Source organism: Homo sapiens, chromosome 10 (genome assembly GCF_000001405.40).
Source record: "Homo sapiens chromosome 10, GRCh38.p14 Primary Assembly".
NCBI classification, from domain to species: Eukaryota; Metazoa; Chordata; class Mammalia; order Primates; family Hominidae; genus Homo; species Homo sapiens.
The window spans coordinates 127,361,790-127,377,410 of NC_000010.11; the positions used below are offsets into that span (position 1 = coordinate 127,361,790).

Here is a 15,621-nt window from a genome sequence, read left to right on the forward strand (position 1 = left end):
GTTCATCTTCTCTGACAGAGAAGTCATGATTACAGGCTTATACCGCGCGGATCTTTGAAGAGCTTCACTTATAACATGTGGAATACAGGCCACTTCTTATACTAATGGCTGGGAAAGTTCAAAATCATCATCTGCAGACGCGAAATGGATGCACATTTTCGGGATCCTGCTGCTCAAAGTCACAGTGATCTGTGTTGTGTTGTTTTATCCATTTAAGCCCATTTTAGAATTCTATTTTTCTTTATTTCTGAATATTGTACCTCTTTTTTCCAAGGTCAACACAAGATAAAGTTCATTCCAGAAATGGTGGGCCCAATATTAGAAATGACATTAATTCCCGAGACGGAGCTGCGCAAAGCCACCATCCCCATCTTCTTTGATATGATGCAGTGTGAATTCCATTCGACCCGAAGCTTCCAAATGGTAAGGACGTAGATGTGCAGCGAGTGGCCGGGGGACATGAGGGAGGCAAACCTGAAAACCTTCAAAGAAACCTGTAGACAGTTCTAGAGTTAAAGGTGCCAACGTGGAAAACACATTTTCCTACAGCTTGAGAGAGAAAAAGCCTATGATTTTCCTTATTGAAGAAGCTTATCATCCCTTGCACTCAATTTTTGGGAGGATTATTCTCAATTTTTAGCTCTTACTTACTTCTTTTAATCTGGGTTTACTTACACATTGCACCCTGGATAAAAGTCTCTTGCTCCCACTTCTTGGTACGTGCTCTTGTAGAGCGTTTAATCAAATGTTATGTGTTACATTCTCTCAGACCGGCTGCTTATTGCAGAATTGTGGTATTTTGAAAGCTAAAGTCTTTGCTTTTATTCTCTTAAGTGTGTGTCTTGTTCTTTTGCCTGTGCAATGGAACTGATGAAAATTCTCTAAGAAAGTGTATATAAAGTGCTCAAAACATACTGTGACAAACAGCATGAGGGACAAACTCTGCTGCATAACTTATGCTCAAGAAGTAACAAAATCTCCTTCTGGATCCCAAGAAAATAAGTATACTGTTTATGTATTCTTGGGTTGGCACCCACACCCACACATACACACACACACACACATGTACATCCCCACACACACACATACACATCCCCACACACACACACATGTACATCTCCACACACACATATACACATGCACATCCCCCCACACACATACACATGTGCATCCCCACATACACATACACATACACATCCCCCCCCACACACACACGCACATCCCCACACACACACACACATGCACCTCCCCCCACACACACACACGTACATCCCCACATATACACATATGTGCACACATACACACACATGCACATGCTATGACTTTCTCCTTAGTGTACTAATGGTTTGGCCATGATGCTTTGCAGGAGACCTGGGAGAAGCCCAAGTACTAGGGAGTCCTCTGAATTGAAAGATACCTTTTAAAAATCATTATACTGGACCGGATGTGGTTGCCCACGCCTGTAATCCTAGCACTTTGAGAGGCCAAGGCAGGCAGATCACTTGAGCTCAGGAGTTCGAGACCAGCCTGGGAAACATGGTGAGACTCCGTCTCTACAAAAAATACAAAAATTAGTGAGGCATGGTGGTGCACACCTGTGGTCAGGGAAGTCAAGGCTGCAGTGAGCTGTGATCACGCCACTGCACTCCCGCCTAGGTGACAGAGCCAGACCCTGTCTCTAAATAAATAAATAAATAAATATTAAAAATTATTATAGCAATTCAAGTAAGTCAACATACTAAGCATTTTACATAGATTTTAGAGGAATTTGGAGAAAAATTCCTATAATGAAAGGAAATCAAAACTTCATCAATCAAGATAGCTTAATGTTGGTGAGATCTAATATTAAAGGGTATATTATCCTTACCCACCTCTACAGTTTATCATTTAAGGGAGCTTTGAGTAGTTTATAGATTTTCATTGGTCATCTTCATCATATCACATGAAGGCGGTATCCACGAAGAATGATTTTGCTGTTTCCTAGAACAGAAAAGAGAGATACGAAACCAAAACAGTCTCCACACTGTGAGTTGAGTTTAGATACTGAGGGCAGGGAGACTGAGATTCACAGGCTTAGCCAGGTATTATCTGGGTCCTCAGCAAATCACTCAACATCTTTTAAGTCTCCAATTCAAGCTTGTAACATTGGCATGAAATAGAATCTACCAGAAAGGCGTGTTGTGAGAATGAAATAAAATCAGACCTGTACAATCCCTAGCACGGTGCCTGGCACTATAAAAGGTGGCTGTGGATGCTTCTCTTCTCTCAAGGCCGGAACCTCCCTTGGTCTGGGTGTTTGTGGAGTGCAGGGGGCAGCCTGCAGGGTGAGCCCCCAGTGTCTGCAGGACCATGGGGCCCAACGCTGCATACAAACCTGGGCATGGCCATTTCGTCAGGGTTGTTCCGGAAGCCGGGGAGGAGCACACAGGAGATGAACAGAGTCTGACTGCTGGAGCCGTTTCCTTTAACCTCTACACACCCACAGCTGTGCTTGAAAACCCATTGCAGAGGAGCCTAACACCTGGCTCGGAGATCATTATTTGTTTTTTGCACTTTGCTCCACTAGGCAGTTTTTTAATTTTTTTTTTATTTTTTTGAGACGGAGTCTCGCTCTGTTGCCAGGCAGGAATGCAGTGACGCGATCTCAGCTCACTACAGCCTCCACATCCCGGGTTCAAGTGATTCTCCTGCCTCAGCCTCTGAGTAGCTGGGATTACAGGTGCGTGCCACCACGCCTGGCTAATTTTTGTATTTTTAGTAGAGACGGTGTTTCACCACGTTGGCCAGGATGATCTTGATCTCTTGACCTCATGATCCACTCGCCTCAGCCTCCCAAAGTGCTGTGATTACAGGCGTGAGCCACCGTGCCCAGCCCTAGGCAGTTTTTTATAAGGTGACTGGTGACTGTTATTTTCACATTATTCCAACCGTGGACAGTAGAGAGGGCTTTAGTTTAACTTCCCCAGTGTAATGTCAGTTGGACTGGAATGAGTGGTGTTAGTACCTCCTCCCTTCTTCCTTCCTCCCTCCCTCCCTTTCTTCCTTCTTTCCTCCCTTCCTTCTTTCCTCCCGTTCTCTCTCTTTTTTTCCATGATAGCAGAAGGTCTCCCTGTATTTATTTTTAATAATATTAAAGATAATTCATTTTTGAAAGAACAGCTGTTTTTGTTTCTCTGGCTCACTGTCAGTCTGTGTATATACAAAGTCTTTGTATAAAGACTGTACTAATACAACATTGTAAATATTATACCTAGATTTTTTTTATTAATGTTCTTTCTGTTTGATAATATATCAAGGAGCTTTCCCTTAATTACAACATAGCAACCATGATATTAATGATGGCATAAAATTAACTATCACTTTCTTATCCATCGCCTATAAATGGGCATGTAAGTTGTTTGCAGATTTTCACTGCTGTGAATAACTGTGCAGTGAACACATTCATGCATATAGCTTGAATTTATTTTGAAAATTTTCCCAGTATACATTCTTATAAATGTAATTACGGATTTCAAATATTTTTGTAACTTTTGAAATTATTGCCAAATGGTTTGATGTTAATACGATAAGATTTGCCCCATCTCCATTGCTGCTGGCACTATATCATGGCCCCAGTTTCACTGCCAACTCATTGGAACTACAAATTATAATTTAAATGCTTTTTCCTAGGCAGAAAATTCATTTGACTTTTTGAATTTTATATAAATCTAGCCCAAAGAAGGACTTTGTGAAAAATTGCTATTAAAGAATCAGGTTAAGGGGGAAAGTGTATTTATATAGATAAATGTCACTGGCACAGAAAACTAAGGTCAAAAGTGTTTAAAACATCATTCTATTTGTCATTTTTTAATCAGTCTTTGGGTCAAAATAAGGTCAAGGGCAGTTAGAATAAAGAAGAATGAGAGTTTGGTTTCTGAATTGTTCCCCTTTTCCCTCACATTCTTTTGTCTCATGGCTGCCTTGTGGTAGTTTAAAAAATCTTACAACAATCTTCTGAGGAAGTGCTTCATTTTCTCCAGTTTGCAGGGGCCCCAGGTTTGCTAGGAAATGGTCCGAAGTTAACGAGAGCCACAGAATTTGTGCCACCATTTTAAACACCGCCTTCCCATTGGGGCTTCAACATTGACCCAGCGTCAGGAGACATCTTTCCAGAAAACCAAATTGTTTTTGAGTAATATCATGAAGTAATTGGCACATTTAGTTCCATCTCATAAACAACAAACTATTTCACTAGCATGAAACATGCCGTGCTTGGATGTATGTAAATCCAAGCATAAGCCTGAAGACACAGATTCACCCACAAGAAGGACCCACTGTCAGGCTGAGCGTGGTCAGCTACCTGAACTGTTGGTTCAGAGTCACCTGTTTCTCTGTGTTGTCATCTGCTTGAACCTCTGCAGACGAGGGATAGCGTACATTAAAGATCTTTAAAATGAGGGCAGAAAAACTAACCCTTGTTTTAAAAAAATCCCTCTTGTATGTTAATCTGCTTCTGTAATTGGGAAAAGATCAGTTTTCTTCTGTTTGATGTGCCCACCTCAGCTTCCCAGCTGGAATCTCCCAAGCCTGCAGCATCATCCCCTTTTCTGCCAGTCTCCTTGTCACTGGGTTTTCCGGCTGCGGGTCATGCTGGACTGGCCTTTGCTTGCTCCCCTGGCCTCCGTGGCAGTCGGTTGTGAAGCTTCATCAGTCCTCCCTCTGTCTCATCTGCAGCCTCCGTCCTCTGCGCAATCACCATTGCACTAGTCCAGGATTATTCCTGGGCCACAGTATTTGTCTCTTGACTTGCTCTATCTATGTTTTCTAAGTCCTTTCTGACTCCAGTTCCACCTGTCCCTCTCAGCTGGTCTTCCTAAAGCACAAGGGATGGCCCCTATTGTCGGTGATGTGGGCGAATGTGTAGAGTGGACATGTGTGTGGCACATTGGTGCAGGGTTGGCCCCACCTGCTTCTCCATCCACGAGCTTCTGGGATGGGGATGGTCGGCTGCTGCCTAACTCCTCTGCCATAAGCCCAGTTACCTCACCTTATTAGTCACGTCAGCAGGGGCTTAAGTTTTTTTTATAGCTTTTATAGCAGATGTGCAAACCCTACTGGAGTAGGGGGAAGATATTAGGGGGATTTGTTTTTACAACACTTTAGTGTTTTGAACCCGTGATAGAGCTTATGTTTTAAAGGTTGCTGTGTCTTTTGGAGTAGAGCTGTCAATATGCTACTGTTTATGGAATATGAAATAATATATATGTCCAGGTGTATTTTACTCTTACAATTGGAGTAGAGAGGAGACCTGCTGGATTCAGAAGAAAAACCTGCTATTTTACTCAGGATTAAACTGCACCAAACCATTACTGGAATTTTAAAAGCATGTGTTACAAATTGGCTTTTCTAACGTTGCCCGGAGTTTCTGCTCTTGTGCTCGTGCTCTTCAGCCGCAGTGGCGGGCATTTCATTAGAACGTTCTTTCCCTTACACCTCCCCAAGAGCCTACTCCTTTCCTGTCTCCACTTGTGCAAGAAAGAGCACAAATGTTCCTTCGGAATAGGCTCAGCCTTGCCCTTATCCTGCTTCTCCAGGGTCCATGTGTTGAATGGGCTCTCTTGGTGGCGGGATGGGGTGGCATGGAGTTATCCTTTCATGGGCCATGTCCTCCTTGTGGCCTGGGACTCTCTGTCCAGCGCTGCAGTGAGTGCCTTAGGTCAGCTTGACAGCACTCGCTCTGGGGAGGTGGCGATGAAGCTCCACAAAAGGCTCCAGGCTGAAGGTCCCTGATGCTAGTGGAAGCCTGCTGTGAAGTGTCGTGTTCTGCAGGAGCTGGGCCAGACAGAAGCCTGTGAGATGGGAGGCCCCAGATGTGCACAGCGGCCTTGAATTCTTTTTAGAAGTCCCTCCTACCTTCAAAGTCATATGCTTCACTGTGGGCTGGGTCCATAGCCATAGAGCTCCGGTCCGTTGACAGGAAGGCGTTCCCAGCGACTGGACGCTGCATGACGCTCTTGCAATCTCACACCTCTCTGCCATCCCATCCCTGTTTGTGTACGGCCAGGAGGCTGCTGCCTGTGGGGTTTCTTTTCCTCCTAGTGCTTGCAGTGTGGATACTCCAAGCCAGGGGAGGTGGGGATACATGTGGGAAGCCCCAGTGGATGCCCACTGCAGCCATGCCCCTGGGGTGGCCCCCAGCCCTGTGGCCACTGTCAGCCACCCCCTCCATCACTGGGCACTCTTGTGCCACTTCCCTGCCCTGTCCATACTCAAGGCCACTGTGGACATCTGGGGCCTCCTATCTCATAGGCATCTGTCTGGCCAAGCTCCTGCCAGAACATGGCCCTTCACAGGGGAAGTTCCATTAGCATCAGAGACCTTCCGTCTGGAGGCCTTGGCAGAGCTTCATCACCACCTCCCCAGAGCCAGCTCTGTCAAGCTGACCTAAGGCACTCACTGCAGCTCCTCAACAAAAACCCATTTCTTATTTCTTCTGCCTCTTTTGTCTCTGGGTGCTCCAGCTGTCTGTGGTCATCCTGGCTCTTCCAGCACTTTCTATGAATCTTTTATGATCCGGATGCCCCAGCCATTCTCCTAAATCATCCTCCCCTGCTGCTTCTTCCTGTCCTGGTGCCTAAGGGCACATTCTCTGCCCCCTTTCCTTACAGCTGGCCAACTCCTCGAGACACCACCACAGCTGCGTTCATCCCACCCCCTCGCCCTGTGCCCACCCCAATCCAGAGAGTAGCATGCTTACCCCTAAACTCAGGACTCTAGGAATCTCCATTTGTTTGAAAGGAGAGGTCCTACTTGGGAAGATTTCAGGACTGATAAGCTGGCAGGGGAAATGTGGAGAGGCATTGGGGTCTTCGCGCCCCTTATCCCATCCACCTGGATGAGCCTGCCCTTGGTCACAGGAGATGAGCCCTCTCCTGGCCTTAAGCTGACTCTCCCTGCCTCACCAAGAACCCTGCCCTCCCGTGGACCGCACTCCAAGTCTCACCCTCATACTGGATTTTGCTTCATAATAAAAAGCATACTTTTAAATTCCCTCCTGGCATCTTTTTAAAGAATTCCATTTGTTACGCCTTTGGAAAATACAGAACTAACAGCTGAGAATTGCAGCAAATGACCATATGGGCCATAGACCATTAATAAAAATGGAATGGAAAAAGCTGCCCAGCAAAAATAATATTTTCAATCATGGAGCTATTTTCTGTCATCTTTGTGAGGCTCAGTAAAATGCTGCACAACTTCCAGAAATTCCCATTTAGTTGTAACAGTATTAGAACATGAATAATCTTTGTGTCATCAGTGTTGCCGAGCTCCTGTTTGAATAATCTCTTCACACTGCCCATGCCAGTAACCGGAAGCCAGTAATTGAATAGCCGGGTGAATGTCAGCGGCTCTGCCACTTGGTGGAAAGGCCAATGTATTTTCCACTGTAATATGAATGTGAATGAGTTTGGTAGCAATTCTATCTTGTGTATTCTTTAATTCATTAGGATTTTATTTGTTGGTTTGTTTATTTTTGCTTTCAATGTCAAAATAATTCTTGCCTAAAGAGGAAATATGGCACAAGAGGCTTCTGTTTCATTGAATCCAGACCCAAAGATGGTCTGAGAGGCCATGGAAACCAAGATCCTTGACTCCAGGAGCTGCGATTATATTGAATTTCATTCTTAAAAGCCCTCCAGCAAAGAGATTCTTCCATAATCCCCTTTAACCAGATTAAACAGGACTAATTTTGAGGCCATGTTCCCAGAGTCCTCTGGAATTGCATGCAGCCCTAAAGTCACTCTTTAATCTGTGTCATGTAGACATAAGGAGCCGCTGCACCTGTCTCAGGCATCAGCAAGGTGTCATGGCCTGCGATGCAGCCATGCATCCCCAGCCAGGCAGCTCCAAGTGAGTGGCTCTGGGTCCTCCAGGCTCATGAGTGTTTCACAGGAGCTCCAAGGTCAGCAAGCCCCTTGCTTGACGGACGTAGGAGGATGTGGAGGTTTTTGAATGTGGGATGAAGTGCCACCGATTAATTAGTGTGTAATTAAGTTTCCAGAGCAGTTAGGCAAGAGGAATGCTCTATACATAAAGATATGAATGTGTCTGAGCACAGGTACTCAAGGCTGAGTGATGGATCGGGAGGGACCAGTCACTTGTAGGATGTCAGCATGGGCGCCTAGAGCCCCAAGGGTTGTGCGGTGTCACACTTCTCTCTGCTGAACCTTGCCTGTTTCATCTTCTTAACCATGTTTTCCACCCAGATACAGTCCAGCAACTTTCTCCCACCCACCTCCCCCTGCACATGCTCAGGGGGTAAGGTGTGGTTGCGCAGTTTCATCAGATTGGCCCCGACCCAGGGAGAGAAGGCAGAGAGAGTCTGATTCCTTGGTGCCCTCTGCCTGCAGTATCTTCTGAGCATTTCTTCTTTAAATACAGGAGAAACTAGAGCACTCTGGGCAAAGAGCAGCATTGTACTAAGGTTTATTTTTAAAGGGTCAAATAAGCCCTTCTGCTAATGTACTTAGCAGATCATGTCCATAGATTTCAGATCTCACCCGGCTCTTGATAACCTCGGAGCCCTCCATCAAGGCGGTGAGTGGTCTGTGCAAACCTTTCCACCCTGGCCCAGCCTCCTGCTGCGCTCCCACAGAACCCTAGAGCTCTTCTGGTATATAAAGCATGGTCCTGGATGTCTGGCAAGTGCAGGCTGATTTTATACATTACAGATGTATAAAATTATAGATGCATTAGAGTAAGAATAGTAAATCTCACCCAAAACAAAAATTATGCGTTCCAAACCAAATATAATTGGCTTTTGGATTAGCTACTACTGGGATCCTTCTCTCCATGATCTTTCAAATAGGTGCCAATAGCCTATGGTTAGCTGTGGCAGTGAGTGGTAAAAGCAGTGTTTCCTTTTTAAGTTAATTGAATTAACAAGACGTCAATATCGCTTCGAGCACAGCCCCCTGACTCCGTCACGTCAATTTAACAGCAACTTTCCGAAAGGCCTTCTATTCATAAGTGTTCTCTTGTTTCATGTTCTCAGAGGGCTGCTGGTATCAGACACTGAGAGACTCTCTGTTCAGTATTTTCAGTTGGACACCCTGTGAATATTTTTGGAGCAATATTAGTGATTCAGAAAAGAGAAGAAAATATAATGGTTTTGCTTATTACGTGAGTGAGCCTCTGCCACCTTTTGAGCAACACAGTAAACCCTTGCTAATTTTATCCCAGCCATAGAGAACCTTGTTGCAAATCACCAGACAATGTGCATTTATGAGGAAGATAATAAGCATGATTTTGATAAAACCAGCTCTGCTCTATCAGCAAATGTACTATCTCCAATTTAGTGGGACAGGATCATTTAATTCTGATTATAGTAACAGTTCATAGCACACTAGCGAATCAATTCGAGTGTATTCTATAAAAATGAACGAGGATCCTGGAATTAGAGGCTAGTTGTGGATCTCTGGTACTGAATCCTTGCTAATAAACAGATCAGGGTGGCCAGGTGTTTGTGTAAATTACTTAGTTTGGACTAGGGTTAGTAAAATTAGAATCAGCTGTGTTGTGATTTACTTACCACTCATCCACCTTTGTTGGAAATCATTAAGTTCATCAGTCAGAATTTGATCAGCAGCATACCTAGGTAGCTGTAGCTTCCTCATTGCCTGTGTTTGTGACAGCTAGATTTACATGGAAGCAGAGAAAACATGCCGTTTTCATAACCTACACTCTGTGTTCAGATCCCTTTGGCTTGACCATTGATGGGCATTTTAAATGCCTGTATGTTTGCCCATGTCAGGAGAAGGCACATTTCTCTGCATTCTCTGTACCTTTCTTGTTGTCTGTACTCATTAAACATACATGAAATTGAATCATGTTTTGATTAAATTTAATTTAATTTTGTGTCTCTATTATTTGTCCTGAAGCATCAGCCCTCATCAAACATTTAATCTTTGAAGTCTGTCTGGATCATGGCACCATCTGGGAGATGGCACTGCCTTGAAATGCCAACTTTTGGGCTACTACCAAGCGATCTCCCTTGTATGTGATTCCAAAAAGAACTACCTTTTGCAGAATTCTTTTCTGTAAAGGGCAGGATAGCAGTGGTTAGTATCAAAAGGTTGTTATTTTACAGTAAAAATCGTTAATGTGAGATTTCAGGAGAAAAAAAATCTAAAGCAATTCATTCCTCCTTCTTCAATAGAACCATCTGTCTGTGCTGCTAAAATCCTTGAACTTCTTAGGCCAGACAGAATCAAAAAGAAGTGTTTATTTGGGGGAGGAGACCATGGAGAAGATCAAGAAGAAAATTGGAGAGATTCACTAAGGTCCGGGTTCTGGGGATGTTGCTGAGTCCTTGATGTCAGGCAAGAATCAGTACTTCTCTCCAGCCCTGAAAGCCTTTGTTTCATCTGTAGCTGTGGCTTTGGGCAGTGTGTACTGATCGAGGACAGGCAGGGCGTCTGTGTCCATTTGGAGGCCCCTCCTTGGGTTTCACCGTTCCTTGCTAATTGCTTCTCAGGGGTCCACAGTCAGCTGCTCCTGCAGGGGCATCCCCAAGTCTCTGGTGCCCACAGTGTCTGTCACAGGCACTCTGGATGAGCAGTTTTCACGACTGGGCTTGGCCTGGCCAAGAATGCAGGTTGTGATTTATCAACCCTCTAGACCGCTCCTTTGCTGACATATTAAGCCCTCTCCAGCTTTATCCAGTCTAAGCACTTTAATCCAATCTAAGTTGGTCTAAGACCAACTGTATTCAGTAGTTTATGTGCACACAGCACATTCATTCCATTAGAGCATCAAAGGCACTGTTTGAGGTTTTGGGGCTGGCTAGAGCAATGACCAAAGAAAAATTCTTCCTCTCACTCAGCTTAAATTCCACTGGGATCCTAATAACAGCAGGCGGCTTGAGAATTGTTGCCTGAGAAAGTAGGTGATTGAACATGGCTTTAGAGAGATCCTGGAGACCCTTGCATACATGCCCATGGCGTACTTGCTTTCTGAACCCTGGATTCAGCTTTCTTCAATTCTTCCTTTGTCCATCTTCCTTCAGTTTAGAGTGTGCATGTCTCATCTTTATGGGAATGAACAATCTCACAGCCCCTCCTTGCTACTGGCACAAGTTGATGGTAACCTCAGGGCCCCCTGCAGCATGGCTAGTCACCAGGCCGGAGTCCCAGTACTCAGATGGCTATGAACTCTGCCAGAGATGGGGAACTGGGCAGTGAGGATGGGGAAAACATGTCCATTGTTATCGAGGTTTTTTTCAGCCTGATCAGACACTTGAAGACATTTTAGAGATTTCCACCCCCCAGAATTTAGAGTTTTTCTAAAAGCATGGATCTGAGACATAATTAGCTGGTACTGGCGACCCTTCTGCACCCTGATTCCCAGGAAATTTAATCAGAAGCTTTGGGGATGGAGGATAGGCTGGAGATGGACCTTCTTGAGGTGCCTGCTGGTCTGTCTTTAGGGACATTGCTCCTCTTGCTCTTTAGAACATTTTTTCAGCCAGAGTGAGGTATTTCACTAGGATCTATCAAGGAATGGCAGCTAAGTGGCCCCTAGGATGTTTTCAGATTGCCGAGAACTCTTCACTGGCAGGGGAAACACCATCTGTTCATTTCAGGAACCAACAAGCTATTTTAGATGTTACGTGTTTGTAGAGATGAAGTTTGAGACTTTTTTTCATGCTGCGCTTTGATTTTTTTTTCCCCCTATGGTTTCCTTGTCTTTCTTCCCCTGGTTCTTGCTCCTGCTATCAGGACGTGCAGGTTCAGGCTCCATTAACCAGAAAAGGAAATGAGAGGTCCCCCTATGGCAAGGGATCATCAGAAACCTCCAGGGGTTCTGTGTTGGCAACTCTTAAATGAGGCTTCAAAGGCAGAGGGTAGCCATCTATGATGATCTCTCTTGCCGATTTATGTTCTATTGACACTCAAGTCATAAAATGAAATACTCGCCATGCTGATTATTTACGCTTCCTCTGTTTAATTATAGTTTGAAAATGAGATCATCACCAAGCTGGATCATGAAGTCGAAGGAGGCAGAGGAGACGAACAGTACAAAGTGTTATTTGATAAAATGTAAGTGTTGATTAGCAGTGGGATTTATGTCTGAGAGATACAGAGACAGAGAGACCGTAATTAGACTACAATGAACTTTGTAACCCAGAAATAATTAAAATGTGTTAATAATGGAAAATAGTTAAAATTGCACCTCTGTTGAGTTTCTTTTTCTGAGTGTGATTAACAAGGTGTGTATAATTATTTTTCAGCCTTCTGGAACACTGCAGGAAGCACAAATACCTCGCCAAAACAGGAGAAACTTTTGTAAAACTCGTTGTGCGCTTAATGGAAAGGCTTTTGGATTATAGAACCATCATGCACGACGAGAACAAAGAAAACCGCATGAGCTGCACCGTCAATGTGCTGGTGAGTGAAAGCTTAATCACGTTTTTTCAGTTTTCACAGCACACCAGAAACTGAAGCGGGGATTGCCCCAGCCCTTATCTATGACAGTCAGCCACGAAGCTTTCCACCGCAGAACAATCTCCTTCGCTTGTTTCCTCATCTGCTGCAGGGAAGGAATCATGAAGTCGTCCACTCTGAATAAGTCTGTAAAATTGTCCCATCTCTGGACGTTTTAATGTCGCTCTCCTTGTCGTTGTGAATGATGACTCACCGTATCTTGCAGCCAGGGTAGTGCCTCATGGATTACGGCCTTAAGGCTTTGTGATTAGGAGACCATAAACGCGTGCTATGTAGTACATAGGCTGAATGGTGGCCTCAAAGGTAGAGCAATACCCCAGTCCTTAGAACCTGTGAATGAGACCTTATTTGGAAACAAGAGGCCCTGCAAATATAATTAAAAAGAATCTCAGATGGGATTATCCTGGATTACCTGCAAGGGGAGGGGAGAGGTACTAACTCCAATGACAGGTGTCCTCATAAGAGACAAAAGAGAAGACACAGAAACAGGCTAGACCTTGTGAAGATGGAGGCAGAGATTGGAGGGACCCAGTCTCAAGCCAAGGAATGCCTGGAGCCACCAGAAGCCTGCGGAGGCCAGGAAGGATCCCCCCCTAGAGCTTTCTAGGGGAACGTTGTCCTACTCACACCTTGATTTCAGATTCTGGCCTCTGGAACTGTGAGAAGAAACATATCTGTTGTTTTAGGTTTATGGTAATTTGTTACAGCAGCCACAGGAAACCAGATCTGGGCACCATGGAGAACAGACGCCTGGGCGACCTTGGCTGCTGCCATCTGTCTGCCTTTTGCATTCCTGCTGTTGCCCTGATACAGCTGGGTTCTGTGGACACCCCCTTCCTGATGTCATTGTGGTCCCTAATCCAGGAAATCCATTAGTACCAATGAGCTTTTGGGAAGCTTTACCACAAGCTCAGATCCCGGCCAGCCTCATGGCTCTCAGCAGCGTTGTGATTCCCACAGCCTGGCTCCAGAGCTCTCTGCTTCTCCCTTTGCTGCTTCTCTTATAAAGAAACACAAGGGCTGACTCGTGGCCATAGTAGGGCTTTCCTCAAGTTTCCTTGCCTGTCCCATGGCAAGAATGCAAGAAAACACTACTCCTGCTTTGCTCTACTTACCTCCCTTCTCTGCCCAGCCACTGGCCTCAGGATTTCAGAGTCGCCAACAACATGTGGATACATAGTCCTCACTGCCACATCCACCCCTTGTGTGGACTTGTGGGTGCTTTATGCTCATGGAAATGGACTTTCATGCCAGGAGGAACATGACACATCATTCACTCTTTAAAAAGCCAGAGTTGTGTGGATTAAAAAGATAAACGAAAAGGAATGCTTTCACTTTTCATCGACTATGGTATCAGTGCTGGATCTGTGCTTTGCCATGAGGAACTTCACAGCTGAAAGCTCATGAGCAGTCTTCGCCCCTTCATTGCATGGCTGGACAGCTTGTTTAGGCTAATGATAAACATTTCTGTAACAAGTTTTCTTTTCCTTAAAAATCTAAATATAGGGGACCAGTTTTTGGTCCAGCATGTAAAGAGCTTGCAAATTGTCACTCCTGTCCTCACAACAAGAAAAAAGCTGAACAAATTGAAAACAATCAACAATTATTAGTTCCGTCTTCTTAGATCTGTAGATAAACTTCTGACCCCAAAGTCAAAGAAACAGGAGGATACAGAGAACCACAGAGTGGAAGCCCAAACAGAAACCACCACTGGAGCCAGTACTAGATTCCTTTTACCCAGTCCATCATATTCACTTTCAACGCATTAGTACAATGCACGCTAAAGACAAAAACACAGTGAAGGGGCAGAGCAGGCATTAGAACCAGACTCTGATACGGCAGAGGTTTTGAAATCATCAGACCTGCAATTTAAAACAGCTGTGATGAATATCCTAAGGGCTCTAATGGGAAAAGTAGATAAAACATAAAAGAAGGTGGGTAAACTACGTAGAAACTCACAGAAATCATCAAGAAGAAATTCTGGAAATCTAAAACACTGTAACAGTGTGAAGAATGCCTCTGATGGTCTCATCAATCAACTGGACACAGAATCTGTGGACTTGAAAAATCTGAATGTTTGCAGATGCATCATGTGTCTTAGGCTACTGTAGAAATTACTGGTCTCTGATGTCTGGCCCTGAGGTCTGGGCTGTGGCTGTGTTTGTCTTTATATTCACCTGGAGACTGACCAAGTGGTACAGCAGCAAGCTCTGCCCCAGGTCAGTTGGTCTGATCTTACAGACAGAAAAGAACCTGGCGCTTACTTCACTGTCTTCTTGCATTCTGACCAACGTTCAAAGTAATTTGTTGTCATGGTGCCAATGTGATTGACGTGAAATAGGAACTATTATTTTTCTATGGGAAAGAAATGGAGAACTTTACAAAATCCTTCCCTACTATGGACATAACTTTATAGTGTTCCTTCTAATCCTTAAGGGGATCTAAGAGGCTGATAAGTGCCCAGAAGGAAGAATTATCAATAAGTTTATTAGTCTTCCAACTTTGATGATTGAGACTTTTATTTGTTTTAAGCAAGATCTCTTATGCTCACCAGGACATGAAACAGTGGAGAAATGGTGGTGTGCTCTGAATATGGGCTCTTACTACCTGAATCTAGGGTCAGGAAACAAACTCTTGTAATAAAACCTACAATCACGGTTTCTAATGTGAACCTGTGTTCCTCTTTAATTCAGAGCCAGACTCAGTGCCCACGTACTTTTACTGTGGTCAGCACTTGCTCAGTTTTAACTAAGAAACACACCCTGGGTTCTCAAGGTTATCTGACATTATTAACTTTCTTCAAATGGGAACGTCCTGAATCATTTGATGAAAAATCAAATGTTCTGCTCTTAACCATTTCCTGGGGATGATAAAATGGATCCCAACTGTCACAGTTTTTTCATTTAGAAAATAAATCTGTGGAATAAAGGGAAACAAGAAACCAGAGTTTTAAAGATAGGTAGATAGGTGTCCTAACCATAGATACTCACTGCCCAGCTCAATTTCCTGGTCAGTTTTTCCCTTTTCTCCTGGTACTTTTATTACAGAAACAGAGTGTAATAGAGATGGGTATGTATAACCATCTCTAAATGAATATAGATGTATACATATTGGAGATGTATAAAATATACTCTGTTAG

General features: G+C 44.2%; 1 protein-coding gene and 1 long non-coding RNA gene across 17 annotated transcripts in view; one reads left to right on the forward strand and one right to left on the reverse strand.

The window, feature by feature from the left end:
* DOCK1 (dedicator of cytokinesis 1) overlaps positions 1–15,621 on the forward strand; it is a 547,089-nt gene that overhangs the window by 456,362 nt on the left and 75,106 nt on the right. For all 16 annotated transcript variants that reach the window (NM_001377544.1, NM_001290223.2, NM_001377546.1 and 13 more), the window contains 3 exons: positions 275–423; positions 11,992–12,077; positions 12,269–12,425. In NM_001377544.1, coding sequence (NP_001364473.1) covers positions 275–423; positions 11,992–12,077; positions 12,269–12,425 — 392 coding nt within the window. The remainder of the gene's footprint in view (positions 1–274; positions 424–11,991; positions 12,078–12,268; positions 12,426–15,621) is intronic.
* The window catches only part of LOC105378551 (uncharacterized), a 36,497-nt gene continuing 22,781 nt past the window's right edge, over positions 1,906–15,621 (reverse strand). The window contains exon 3 of the long non-coding RNA XR_001747642.3: positions 1,906–1,980. This is a non-coding gene — a long non-coding RNA (uncharacterized LOC105378551). The remainder of the gene's footprint in view (positions 1,981–15,621) is intronic.